General features: G+C 38.3%; 1 protein-coding gene across 24 annotated transcripts in view; it reads left to right on the plus strand.

Annotated features, from left to right (window-relative positions):
* SH3GL3 (SH3 domain containing GRB2 like 3, endophilin A3) overlaps positions 1-14803 on the plus strand; it is a 186480-nt gene that overhangs the window by 101802 nt on the left and 69875 nt on the right. For all 24 annotated transcript variants that reach the window (XR_007064483.1, XR_007064484.1, NR_136711.2 and 21 more), the window contains one exon: positions 10111-10179. Coding sequence is in view for 9 of the 24 variants with exons in the window: in NM_001301109.2 (NP_001288038.1) it covers positions 10111-10179 (69 nt within the window). In the remaining 15 variants the exon portion in view is untranslated. The remainder of the gene's footprint in view (positions 1-10110; positions 10180-14803) is intronic.

Below are 14803 nucleotides of genomic sequence, written 5' to 3' on the forward strand. Positions count from 1 at the left end.
AATTTTACATTGTCATTTATTTTATTCAACATATTTATCATAGTTACATTAAAAATCATTTCTGATGTCAATACTGGGATTACCTGTTGGATCATCTAATTCTTTTCTTAGTTTTCCATTGTTGGTTCAGTATCCTGGTATGCCAAATTATTTTTATTTGAATGGCACATATTGTGTGTGAAGAATTGTAGCAGGTCTGAGTAATGTATCTTCCTCCAGAGATTATCTAGTTTTATTCTGGCGGATAATGAGGGTAAAGGCTTGTAACCTTGCTACAGGTGGATTGAAATGATTCAAGTTTGCATTCCAGGCTTTGTGAGGGCATGTCCCCTTGCTTGCTTTTACTCCTAGGGTTTAGGCATTCAGGGATGAATTAAAATCCCAGATGTTTTTCCTTATTGGGGAGTCCTGACTCCAATTTCTGTCTCTTGATCACTGTGATACTGCAGAAATACCTGCTTAGATATTTAGCCTTCTAGCAGCCTCTTTGTGCTGGTTTCTTATCATCTGCCTTGTGTATTCAGCTTAGGAAATGTCAAAAGCCTCAAGAGGAAATTGAACATAGCTTGTCAGGTTTGCTTCTTTATGTTTCCCTTTTTCCCAGAAATTTGGCCTCTTATATCCTGGTTTCCTTGGTTACAGTGTATTCCAATTTTTCTCTTACACAACCTAGTAAGACTGCTGCAAGTTCCAGGCTGGTGTTTTCTGCTCAGACTTTATGTCCTATGTTGCAAGACAGAACATTTCCTAAAGAGAACAGTCAGCTGTAGATGTATCACTCCCCTCAATGCATTTCCCTTCCTCCAGATTTTGGCCCCTCAGATTGTGGCTGTCTTGGTTGCTCCGATGACCTCAAGATCTCTTTAAACTTGGAAATTTGAAAAAATTTTAGACTTACAGAAAAGGAAGTTGCAAAACTAGTACAGAGAGTTCACATATACCCTTCACTCGTCTTTCCCTAATGTTAACAACTTACATATTACCTTTACTATTGATACTTAAAATTGTGTTGCCATGTTCTCCAAGCTGATAACAACAGAGCATGACTGCCAACTGGTTGAAAGGAGAAAAAGGAACCTTTCAAAAGGGTGACATTTTTGGCACAGGGCTTCTCAAAATGTGTTCCTTAGAACACCAGTCCTTGGAGATTTTCCTATTAGACAACGTCCACAGCCCAGTAATTGTAGGAAATGCCACATCTTACATATATGTGCCCCTTTGGAAATCCACAGTGCCCATTACCATTTTATTTTATTTATTTTTTTTGAGATGGAGTCTTGCTCTGTCACCCAGGCTGGAGTGCAGTGGTGTGATTTCAACTCACCGCACCTCCACCTCCTGGGTTCAAGTGATTCTTGTGCCTCAGCCTCCCGAGTAGCTGGGATTACAGGTGTGCACCACCATGCCTGGCTAATTTTTGTATTTTTACTAGAGATGGGGTTTCACCATGTTGGCCAGGCTGGTCTCAAACTCCTGACCTCAAGTGATCTGCCTGCTGTGGCCTTCCAAAGTGCTGAGATTACAGACATGAGCCACTGTGCCCGGCCCTCCATTACCATTTTAAAGCCTCTGAAAATGTTTCAGTAAAGAAATCTGCTTAATTTTGTTTTCCCTGTGTTTCCAAATATATATAGTCAAGAGCTGTTTTTGTTTTTGTTTGTTTGTTTGTTTTACTTTGCCTGGCCCTTAGGTACATCCCATGGAGCTAGTGTTTTGTGGCACACATACTGGAAAATACTATTCTGGAGCATTTTCTAAAATCCTAAGTTACAAATTTTGCTTTTTTACATTTTCTCTTAGGTTCCGGCTTTCTTGCTGTTTAATTTCTTGCTTCATGAAAGGGAAGAAGATGGAGACGCCAAGGTTTCTTTGAAAACAGATATTTGCACGAGAAGGCAGCCAAGGCTGTGTTAACATTCACCATTAAAAACCCAACACATCTAGACAAAACACCAAATGCAAAAGCTTCACGTTTCCCAAATAAATTTCTTTTATAATTTGTCACTGCTCGGTTGTAGGCTTTGAAAATAGTTTTCATTTTCCTGTTATTGACAAAATTAAAGCTGCCAAGAAGTAGATGGTGAACAAGGATTTTATCTCTGACTGTAGCACCAAGGCAACCTGAGATAGGTCTAATTTGCAGCATAAATCTTCTTTTCCACTGGGGGAAGAACACACGAGCCACATTGAGTAGCCACCCATTTGTATTTTTGATTTGCAACTTCTGTCTAGTGAGCCAAGGTCAGGTGCGATATTTGTGATGGGGAAGCTGAATAGGTGAGTGAGGGTAGCTTGTGTTTGAAGCTGAAGAAGGTAATTAAGAGGGTTTTAGAATGTAATTTTGGCATTTTTCCCCACTCCACCTCTTCAAACTATGTGTCCCCTGTCATCGCCTAACCGATCTGCCTGTCCACCTTCTGGTTCCTCTCCAGTCCATTATCTCATGGCCCACTTGACTAATCTTTCTGAAACTCAGATCTGTTCTTATCACTCACCTTTCTAAAAGTCTCCATTGTCCCCAGAATTAAGTTTAGCCCCATGGTCTGGCCCCTGAGTGTATGCCTGTCTGCTCCTTTTCATTTAAGCTTCTGTTACCCTTGCTGAATTATTATGCTGTTTCCTGTTATGTTGTGTGCATCTCTTAGAAGCTGCATATAGCTGGATTTTTTAAAATCCACTCTAGTATTATTTAGTATGTTGAATGTAATCCAATTGTGTAGATAATCATTACTGATCTATTTGGACTCTCTATTTTTTAATCAGCCATTTCTTTGCTTATACTATTCTTTCTGACAGAAATGCCACTTTTCTTCTTATCTCCCTGGTGAACTCCATATATCCTACTAGGCTTTGTTCTGGAACTTTCTTGGCACCTTCTCATTTATATAATTGCTTCCTTCCATCTGGGTTTTAATGGCAAGTTCTGCATCTCTATTACAGAATAGTATTGATCTCATTGTGGATTGCTGTTTGTGTTTCTGCTTTCCAGTGGGCCTGTGAGAGTGACTGATCTTTGCATCTCTAGCAAATTGGCACAGTTGGTAGACTTTCCAACCTGAGATATTAGATGTTTCAGAAATTAGATTGAATGACGTGGTGTCAGTTTGAAACATTAAATTGAGGTGTTCTTTGAAATGTATTTAAGGTTATACAATGATTTTTGAATACAGCTTTAGCTGCATACCACAGATTTTGATGTATAATATTTTTATTGTTGTTAAATTTTTTGGTAATTTCTATTGGGGTTTTCTTTTTAATCTGTTATTTAGGACAGAATTTTAAAATTTTGTGCTGATATACTTATTTTTATTGTTGGTTCCTAACTTAATTGCATTATGGTTAAAAAACCCCAAAACCTAATAAACATGCTCTATATGGTATTGATTGACTTTGTTACGTAGTATTAGGTTGGTGCAAAAGTAATTGTGGTTTTTGCCACTACTTATAATATTTTGCAGCAACATAATATATGGTCAGTTTTTGTAATGTTCTATCTGTACTTGCAAGGAATATACATTTTTTAAATTTATTGGCTGGGGGATATAGGTATATGTGCATAATAGTTGACCAAGGTTATTATTTTGGTCATTCAGATAATCAATATCTTTTTCAATTTTTTATCATGTTTGATATGTCAGTTTTCTGATGGAGTTGTGTTAAATCTCCTGCTGTAATTGTGGGTTTATCAGTTTCACTATTTCAGTTTTGCTTTATATTTTTTGGAGGTTATACTAATAGTGGAAACAATATCATTATTATAAAAATTTTGGTGGATTGCTCCTTTTATTATTACATTGAGTCTCTATTCCTATTAATGCTTTGCCTTAGGAAGGTATTTCTTAGGTCAGGCACAGTGGCTCATATCTGAAATCCCAGCACTTTAGGAGGTGGAGGCAGGAGGATCGCTTGAACCTTGGAGCTCAAGACCAGCCTGGGCAACATAGAGAAACCCCATCTCTACAAAAATACAAAAATGAGCCAGGCATGATGCTGTGCACCTGTGGTCTCAGCTACTCCTGAGATCACACCACTGTACTCCAGCCTGGGCAACAAAGCGAGACCCTGTCTCAAAAAAACAAAAAACAAAGACAGGTAGCTCTTGTCTGATATTACTGCTGCAGGCTTTATTTTGATTAGCATTTTCCTAGTATGTACATTTTGTCTTTTCAGTCTTTCTATGTGTTGTGTTTTAGTTGTGACTCTTAGAAGATGTATATAGCTAGATTGTTAAAATTCACTCTATTATTATTTAGTATGTTGAATTTAATCCAATTATATAGATGATCATTACTGATCTATTTAGACTTATTACTATCTGATTTTGTGGTTTCTGTTTGCCATTCCTTCTTCCTCCCTCTCCCTTTATTCTCCCTTGTTTTCTTTTGGATTGAAAAATACTGGTTTTCTAACAGTGTGCTGGTATGGATACTATGTTATAACATGCATAGTTCTATATGGGTATCATAGTTTTGTGTTTTTAGGAGTTACCATTAGTTATATAACACAGATACCTGCTGTGCATTATTGTAATGATGTCTAAAGTTATACCCATTTCTCACCTCCTCCTGAACACACATGAATCTTAGTGTGCTTGAAATATCCACTCAACACCCTTCCCCATTTCTGTGTTATTATTGCTGAAGGTTTTAATTTTGCCCTTGTGTAAACTCAGACACATTGGTTTTTGCTTGTTTGTTTGCCTTTACTCAATGGTAAATTTACCACCATAGTTTCTCAATTTTTATTCTCACCGTTGTTTCCTATGGTCCATACTTTCCCTCTTGGTTCGGTTTTTATTTCCTTGATGTAATACTTTAGCATCACTGTTATTTGAGTCTGTGAAGTCTGAATATGTCTTTATTTTCTTTCTCTCGCTCTTTTTTTTTTTTTTTTTTGAGACAGAGTCTCACTTTGTCACTCAGGCTGGAGTGCGGTGGTGTGATCTCAGCTCATTGCAACCTCTGCCTCCCGAGTTCAAGTGATTCTTCCATTCTCCCACCTCAGTCTTCTGAGTGGCTGAGATTATAGGCACGTGCCACCACATCCAGCTGATTTTTTTTTTGAGACGGAATTTCACTCTTATTGCCCAGACTGGAGTGCAATGGCGCGATCCCGGCTCACCGCAATGTCTACCTCCCGGGTTCAAGCGATTCTCCTGCCTCAGCCTCCTGAGTAGCTGGGATTACAGGCATGCGCCACCACACCCAGCTAATTTTGTGTTTTTAGTAGAGACGGGGTTTCTCCATGTTGGACAGGCTGGTCTCAAACTCCTGACCTCATGTGATCCACCACTTCGGCCTCCCAAACTGTTGGGATTACAGGCATGAGCCACTGCACCCAGCCTTGCTCTTAAACAACAGTTTAGGGAGACAGAAAATTCTAGATTTTTATTGCGCCACCACACCCGGCTAATTTTTGTATTTTTAGTAGAGACAGGGTTTCACCATGTTGGCCAGGCTGGTTTTGAACACCTGACCTCAGGTGATCCACCCGCCTCAACCTCCCAAAGTGCTGGGATTACAGGCATGATCTGTAATCCCGTGCCTAGCCGATTTCTTCTTAACACTTTGATGCCATTCCTTCATTGTCCCTGGCATCTGCTGTTGCAGAAGAGAAATCTGCTGTCAATCTTATTGTTGCTTTGGATGTTTTTTCCCCTGCGATAGTTTTAGGATTGTTTATTTTTGAGGTTTTGCTGCGTCTGGGTGTGAATTAATATTCATCTTGCATGGTACTTGAGTGTGCTTCCAAACTGTAGACTCCTATTTTCCTTCAATTACAGAAGATAAAAGAGCCATTTTACTTGTAAATATTGATTCTCCTATATTCTGTTGTTTTTTTCTGGAGTGCCTGTTGGATATATCTTGGAATCTCTCACTTATCCTTCATATCTATTAACTGATATTTCCTTAAAAAAACTCTTCATCTCTGTTTATTTTATGTTCTTTAAGTTCCTTAATATTTTCCAGCTTACCAGTTCTTTCCTGATTGCGCCCAGGCTGGAGTTTGTCCCATCTATTGGGTTTTTCATTTTTATGACTATATAATACTTTTTGTTTCTAATGTTTTATGTCTATCTTGAAAATTTCTTCCCTTTTGTATAATTGTTTGCTCTTCATTAATAGAAGTTATTCCTTTATCTATCATTTTAATAATATCCTAAACACACATTAAAAAGTCTATATTGTTTCATAAAACCGTTTTCTCTAGAAGTGAATTCATGTTATGTTATGTGATTTTGTCGGCTCTCTTTCTTGGTGTTATATTTTATTCATGTGCCTTGGAATTTAGATCTAGGATGAATTTTAATTCCAACTTCTTGTGCTCACTTCTCTCTAGTGATTGTGGCTTCTTCCACCCAGCTTCCCAAGGCCCCAGTACAAAACCGTGGTTTCTGTTCTGTGGTGATATTGGGGCTATCTGGATCCAGTCACAGAGCTGGAGGGGGTGGGGATGTGACTTGACTGATTCTTTGTTCTTCAGTCTCCTTGGGCCTGCAGATTGCCACATGTGGTAGCATCAGACAGGGGTTTACATCTGAATTTTTTTTCCCAGCCTCATTTGCTTTTCCATCCCCAGCTGTAAGCAGAACTTGAACCCAGACTCTGGTCTCATGGAGCACTTTTAGATCCTTTTGTACTCAGCAGGAACCAGACTGCTGGCTGTCATAGCCTGTGTGCAGGCAAGAAGCCCAGCAGGCCCGAGGCTTCAACCTTGTTCATCATGTTGTGTTTCTGTTCATTTTCAGATTCACAAAAATGTTTATTCTGTTTTTGAGCATTGCTTATCTTTCTGGTTTTCTTTTTTTGATATTTAATTTATCCTTGCTATGTATTCAAGGCATAAAGAGTGCATATTTTGATATTTAATCTATCCTTGATTTGTATTCAGAGCATAGGGAGTGCATCGGAGTTGAATTTGAATAGTCATCTTCACCAGAAATAGAAGCTTGAGTATTTATATTTAGCTTCCAGCACCTAGAGGAAATAACCTTGTAACCTTGGAAGGAGGCCAGGTGCCCTGTAGGAATCACGTCTATCTTTTTTTATCTTTCTATCCCAAGTACCAGTCATGTCCCTGCACATAGTAGATGCTCAACAAACAATATTTGTTCATTGACTGACCTCTGAAATATAATTACGTGGCCTAAACAGCTAATGCTATATGTGTATTTATACTTAATGTATCAAAACAGTAAACACCACTGGGAAATTCAGGAAAAGCAGAAACGAATGATCATGACTCTTAACCTGTGACTCCTGTTGAAAATGATCCCATATGTTGTCTTTTCAAACAAGATATATTCATGTCACTAGTTTCTGTTCTTGAAAGTAGAAACACTACTCCTTCTATTAGACATTTTGGTTTCTGAAAATAGAACAAGTAAAACCTGAACAAGTGCGAACTCGTTCGGATTAAAGGGATTTCGGGTCCAACTCTCCAAGCCAAAGGGATTTTCAAATGGTTATTTTAAAACGTGGATCTACATGTGGGCTTCTGTGGTTTCAATAGTCACAGGAAATGCAGGCCACTGTATCAGTCAGCTTTTGCTATATAACACACCATCCGAAAACACAGCGACTTAAGACAAAAAAAAAAGTTCATTTAGTTTATGATTCTGTGGGTCAGCAATTTGGGCTGGGAGCACTGGGTGGGTGGATGTGCTGGTGTGGTTGATCGCTGCTGGGCTCACTCACCTGTTGCCGGTCAGCTGCCAGGTGAGCTGAGGGCTTGATGGCCCGAGGTTGCTCAGGTGGGATGGCTGATCTCTGATCCACGTGGTCTTTCATTCTCCAACAAGGCAGCCCAGACTTGGTCAGGTGGAAGCAGTCACAGCGGACCTGACAGAGTGAGCAGAAGTATCTGTAGAGCCTCTTTGTGAGTACTGATTTGGAATTTATAGCTATACAGTGTGGTTTACACTCTTCTATTGGCCAAAGCAAGTCGAAGCGTGGAAAAATAGACTTCTTAATGAGAGGAGCTGCAAAGCCTGTGGCCACTTTTGTACTCTACCATGGCAACAAAACGTGGAGGTGCCACTCCCCACCCCAGGAGAGATTGTGTAACTTTCCTTAGATCCTCAGGCTATTACCTCCAAAGTTGAGAACCAATATGTTGGATGATTTCACTACTGAACAACAACAATGAAAATGTTTAGGAGAGTTAACTGATGGACACATCTGTTAAAACACTGCTTGGTGTGTGGAAATGAAATTTTTCATTTTTTCTATTGGAAGTTATGCCTTGTATCAAGACATTAGGTTAATTCTCTCTGACTTCTGTACTCAGCCTGAAAAGTAAGGATTCTTGTTCAGTGTACCAGATAACTTCTATTATGTGGCAAACCACTCCAAAATTCAGTGGTTTAAAGCAATACCGTTTATTGGACTCCTGTTCCCATGCCTCAGCAGATGGGGCTGATCTCAGCTGGGGTCTCTCACGTTACTGCAGTCACCTGCAGGTCAGCTGGGTGGCTCTGATTCTGGGGATGGACTGGTTGTACCTTGGTGGGTGTCTGGGCCACTTGTTTCTCTCCATTCAGTTAATTTGCCTGGGCTTGCTTGTTCACAGGGTAGCAACAGTGTTTCTAGAGAGTGAGTAGAAGCACACAAGATCTCTTCCTGCCTAGCTAGGCTTGTTTCTGTGGGGTCAAAACAAGTCACAAGCCCAGCCCAGATTCACTAGGTGGGAAGATAGACTCCAACTCTAGCTCGGAGGAACTGTAAAGACGCAGGACAGGGAGGATGGAGAACCCTGGCCATTTTGTAGTCTTCTGTATCTGTTGTCTTCAAGAAATTCCTTCTCACACTTCGAATTTAAGTAAAATACTATCTCCACTTATATTTTTCCTATTAAATAGTAATACCGCATGTGTAATAGTAGTAGTAACTACACTTGTATTTAAAACAACCTGCCATCTTTTCACCTTTAATTGATGGCACCTCCCTTACTGTGGATTTGCATATTCATATTACTATTTTAAGGGCGTAGATTATGTTAATGTGTTTTGCTAAAGAAAATGATTGAACTTATTTTCTTCTTCCAATTTGTCTTCCTCGTTCTTTAATCCAACCCTACTGGTGCCAGACTTGCTTTTCTAAAGGGTTTCTCTGTGTTTGATGAAGACTCTTTAGGGATCTCTCACTCGTACTCTTTAGCTTGGCATTTGAGAATCCCTGTGCTCTGGGCGTTGCGTAACTTTCAGATTTTATTTTCCTCCATTCTTCCTTGTGCACTAGTTTTCACAGTTAAACACAATTTATTGCTGTTTTTTTTTCTTAGCACATTGGCCATACACAAATTGTCCTCAGCTCTTGGGCAACATTTTTGGTTGTTACAACCGTGTGTGTGTGTGTGTGTATATGTGTGTGTGTGTCCATGCTTGTAGTACTGGCCTTTAGCAAGCAGAGACCAGGGTTGCTGTTAAACATCTTGCAGTGCACAGGACAGCCCCCACAACAGATAATTATCTGCTACAAATATCAATAAAGCCGAGGCTGAGAAAACCTGTCCTATCCATTCCTGCCCCTGGCTCTTTTTTCCATGCCTCATCCCAGAAGGCCTTTCCTTCAGTGCCGCCCGATGAAATGTTCTCTATCCTTAAAATGCCAGCTCAAATGCCACATCTTCTAGGAAACACATCCCGCATGAACCTACTCCCAGTGCCGTGGGCTCTCAAAGTCCATTCTGTGCATCACTGAAGTGACTACCACTTAGTTCATTTACAGTAATTTGTCTCTAGTACTATTATTTTTTAATGGTTCTTATTGTTCTTTTCTTGTTTTTTAATTGAATGTTTGTGTGTTGACTCTTTGGGTGAACTGTGTGTTCCTTGATGACAAGTATCTCTCTTGTCTATGTCCTACAGCACTTACCATGTGTTTTACACATAGTAGGTGCATAATAAATATCTGTTGACTGCATGAGAAATGTATGTCTTCCTGTGCCTTTAGATATGGTTACCCCTTCCAACAATTTTCTTAAAGGAGTTAGTTCAAAAAATCCAACAAGTTGAATCCAAGTTTTTTTGTTTCTGTTTTTAATAATTTAGGTAAAAAACTGTGACAAGAAATCATTGTACAATGCAATTATTTATGTTTATTTCTGCAGCTATTTAGTGAAAAAATAAGTGGTGCTGAAGGAACTAAACTAGACGATGAATTTCTTGACATGGAAAGGGTAAGAGCATTTTAATATGTAAATTGATTAGAAACTGACTTTCATTGTGATATGAGATATACTGCTATTGTAAAGGATATTCGAGTGGAAATCTAGGATGTTTAAATATAGGTGTGGATTATGCAATCTACAAGGCAGTACTTTCCCACGTCCCAGCCCAAATCAGATCCTCCCCCTGTAGCCACATGCAGTTTGGGCAGGTCGAGTAATGAGATCGATGTGGCTAACTGGTACCCTCTAGTGGCCAGAAGTCAGAATGTGCAAAAGATGGGCAATCTTGGCAGTTACTGCAAGGCCAAAGTAATTGGTAGTATATGTTTTGGAGAATCAAAATGTATTTCTGGGACAAGATTTTTTGAAATGCAGAATGATTTATTTACCGTGTGGAAGACTTGGGCTCTGCTCCCATGTGTTGCAGGAGCTGCATAGCAAGTAACTTTTATCCTGGTTCTGCCTGTAGAACCAGAGTGTGAACTTGGATAAGTGAATTCATCTTTTTGAACTGATACAGAGATGACAAGTGTGCCCTGCTTGTCTCACATGGATTTTGTGAGAATTATGCAAACATTAACGTATTTGAAATAACTTACAAAAAATATGACGGGCTTGAGACAGAAATGATTGTAACATGCTCCAAAGAAAAATGGTATCATCTCTGTCCCTTAACATGTTTCCCAGTCAGCTGTGTGGAGTTGCTCAGGTGGAGGCAGAACTAGAACCACCAGTATTAACAACATACTGTTTCTTTGCTCATTGTCTGGGCCCTTTAAACATAGCCTTGTTTTAATAATTAGACCCCCCACCCCAGAGGAGAGAGGGAGGAAATGAAGCAAGGCATCCACCCTCAGGTGTAACATCAAGGCTGCAGATACAGTAGGTAGCAGAGATGTCAGCAGGTGCTGGGGAAGGAAGTCCAGCCCCAGGCTGCGCACTGCCTGGGAGAGTATCTCCCCAGGATACCTTGGCTCTGGCCAGCTCATCTTCCAGGGAGTTCTCTGTTTTCTGGATGAGAACTATTAAATGTCTAGAAATGTTAATGCCTTGAGGGAGAAAAGCTTATTTTGTTTTTGCTTTTGAAAGAAAACTTAATTTCTGAACCTTAAAACCATGGAAACATGTTCACACCATTGACATACCTTAAATTACTTAAAAAAAACTCTTAATATACAAATAGGTGATGTATAGCTTTGTTACTAACAAAATGATTCAGTTGAAATGTTAAATTTAAAAGCATTTTTCCAGAGTTTTAGTTTTGGTTGATGGATTGAGATCCTTCTTGCTTACCTCCTTTTACCTCCAAAAACCCCAGTGAGTTACAGAAGAAATATAAAGTCTATTATCTGTTTTATTACAGCAGTGAAAAGCATGGAAACATATAATACATGACCAGAAGTTTTAAAACTTTCCAGAAGAGATGCATTAGATGGTATTAGACCCACCTAATAAATGATACAGAAATGAGAAAGTAATGGGAAAAAATATTCTATAATTAATGCTAACCATATAAAAATAGAGGAACAATAGTAAAATCAAAATAAAATTTGATGCAAGAGAAGCACTAAATTAAAAAAGCTTTTTAATTATAAAAAGATACAGTCAATGTAGTCTATCAGGAAATTATAATAGTTATGAACCATTCTGCACTACATAACATAGCATCTGAATTTTTAAGGTAGAAACTGTCAGAAATACATAGACAGTTGATAAAAATAGAAGTAGACTTCACATACCTCTCTCATAAAATAATAGATTAAACTGACAATAATCAATAGGCTCATGGAGGATTTGCATAAAATATGATTAATAACTTTGATTATAAATAAATATAGATATCTGCATTCCCCAAATGGAGAATGTGCATATTTTTCAAATTCCTTTGGAACAAATATGGTTATCAATTATGTACTAGGTTATAGAAAAAAAAACTCGATAAATTTCCCAAAGTGATTCCATAGAACATAAGAATTATAAGGGAAAGTAGAGCTTCTAAATTCTGGATGTTTGGAAATTTAAAAATATGTAAAAATAATTCTTAGTTTAAAGAGGAAATGGAAAGTAAAATGACATTATTTAGGCATGAGTGACAATTCTGTATGTCAAAACCTGTGATATGTGGCTAAACTGTAAATGTATTTAAAGAAAATAAATGTTGGGAGAAAATGAATAAATCATGCAATCCAAGAAGCTAGGAAAATAACAGCAAATTAAATCACTCTAGGTAGAAGGTAGAAATCAATATGGATAAAAAAAGAGATTAATAAAATAGAAAACAATAACCACAAAAGATCGAAACAATGAAGCCAAGAGCTTTAGAAAAGCTGTAAGACAACAAACCTCTACCAAGTGAGGCCAAGAGGGAGAAAAAGGAAAAACACAAACAAATTACATAAAGAAGAAGAAAGAGGATATGCCCACTGATAGCATTTTTTAAAGAGAATGCTGTAAATAAGTGTCAGAAATGAGAGCTGCTAGCAGCTCTCTCACTCAGGGACTGGGCCTAAGGGAGTCAGTGGCACAGGCCTTGGGACACCTCATGGGCAGGGTGCCAGCATTAAACAGAAATTCCAGACTTAACTAACCAAGATGCTGTCATACCAGGTTGACTTCACAAAAAATAATTTTTACCATTCTGCTTCCCTCTATTTTTCTTAATGGTTTGGCAGGATATTTGCATAGCATTTGGTTGACTTGAACAGACACACACACACAACACACACACACACACACACACACACACACACACACACACACACACACACACTATAGTGTCCCTAGTTATTCTAGGAGGGAGATTTTGTTTTTAAGCTACATGAGTTTTTGTTGTTGTTTTTTTGTTTTGTTTTGAATGCTCATCTTGACTCCACATTAGCCAATATGTTTACTCTTCAATTTGTAAAGGGTTTATTTCTAGTTTTGATGCTTGGGCTGGTGTGGAGGCAGCTCCAGTATGTGCATGTCAGGGCCTACAAGGTACCTGCAAGTTTTTGGTCATTTGTTTCTTGGGCTTTTTTGTTTCAAAAGATATAAAAAAGATCTGAAGTAGAAAATATCCCCATTCTAATTCCTCTCATCATCATCTTTCAGAGATGACTCTTAGCTTTGTGGTGGCTTTTCATGTCCAAAAAGGGTTGTATATATCAAAGGGAGCACTCTAAGTTATATTTTAATTAATATCTAATTTGTTACATTATAAATCTAAAATCCTCATTTTTCTTAAGCTTTAAACTGAACTTATGAATCTTGTTTCCAAATTTAGTAATTTTGCTATATGATGAAAATCATTATAGTTAATTTTCATTTGAGGTTGCATTAATTAACACATAAGCTTAACAGATTCAATCCTTAAATATTTACCACCAGTTATATAATTAAGCAAATTCCCTTAGACATTTCAAGCTATAATCACAAAGGCAAGGTACAGGACTCCCTCAAACTTTACATAAAATCTATTAACAGCATTTTCCTAAGCCCTTACATTTCTTGTGACTAATAAGACATATTTAGTTAATCAGATTCTCTTAAACATTTCAACAATCTTGGCAAATAGCTGAACATACCAAAGAGAGCTCAAAGTCACAAAACTTGTTACTAGGCCAAACGCACACTCACATGCCCACTTGCACACACAGCACACAAGTATCAGTAATATAGGTTTGACTCCTTTTTTATCATTTCTGTACTGTCTTTTAAAACTTTCCTGGGGCTCCAGATTAATTTATTTAGCCCAAATTAATGTATTTACCTAAGGGGAACAAATACGATTTCAGGCTGGATAAGATTGCTTGGTTGCAAACTTGTGACCCTGGCAGGATCATAGTTTTCTAAATTACAAAAATGATTTGTCTTCTATTATAAATCATTCTGCAGCTTGCTTGCTTTCTATGTATGTACTTTGAATGTCGATCTTCCTTATTTTTTTTCCTTATGATTAAAGAGTATTCCTTTACTTGGATGTTTCATAATTTATCCATCAGTCTCCTGTTGATTTCCATTTTCAATATTACATAAAATGGCCTAACAAACATGTTTTTCCTTCACTGCAATTTGCTCGTGTGTTTCTAAAAGGACAAATCCTTAGAAGTATAATAGCTGGTTTATTAATATGCCCATTAATAAGCACTTCTCCCTTGATCTCCAAAAACGTATCATTTTGCATTCCTGTTGTGTGTTACTCCACACCCATATAATACCTGATATTGAGTATAACTGATTTTAAAAATGTTTTTATCAATCTGGAGAATGTAAAGCATCTCCTTTTTATTTACAGTTCTGAATATTTTTTTCAAATCTTTGTAGGCAGCTTGTGTTTTTCCTCTTTTCCTTCTTTCTTTTTAAGACATGGAGTCTCGCTCTGTTGCCCAGGCTGGAGTGTAGTGGCGTGATCTCGGCTCACTGCAACCTCCACCTTCCAGGTTCAAGCGATTCTCCCACCTCAGCCTCCAAAATAGCTGGGATTATAGGCACCCGTCATCATGCCCGGCTAATTTTTGCATTTTTGTAGAGATAGGATTTCACCATATTGGCCAGCCTGGTCTTGAACTGCTGACCTCAGGTGATCCACCTGCCTCAGCCTCCCAGAGTGCTGGGATTACAGGTGTGTCCCACCGTGCCCAGCCTTTTCCTT

Source organism: Homo sapiens, chromosome 15, assembly GCF_000001405.40.
Source record: "Homo sapiens chromosome 15, GRCh38.p14 Primary Assembly".
Lineage (NCBI taxonomy): Eukaryota > Metazoa > Chordata > Mammalia > Primates > Hominidae > Homo > Homo sapiens.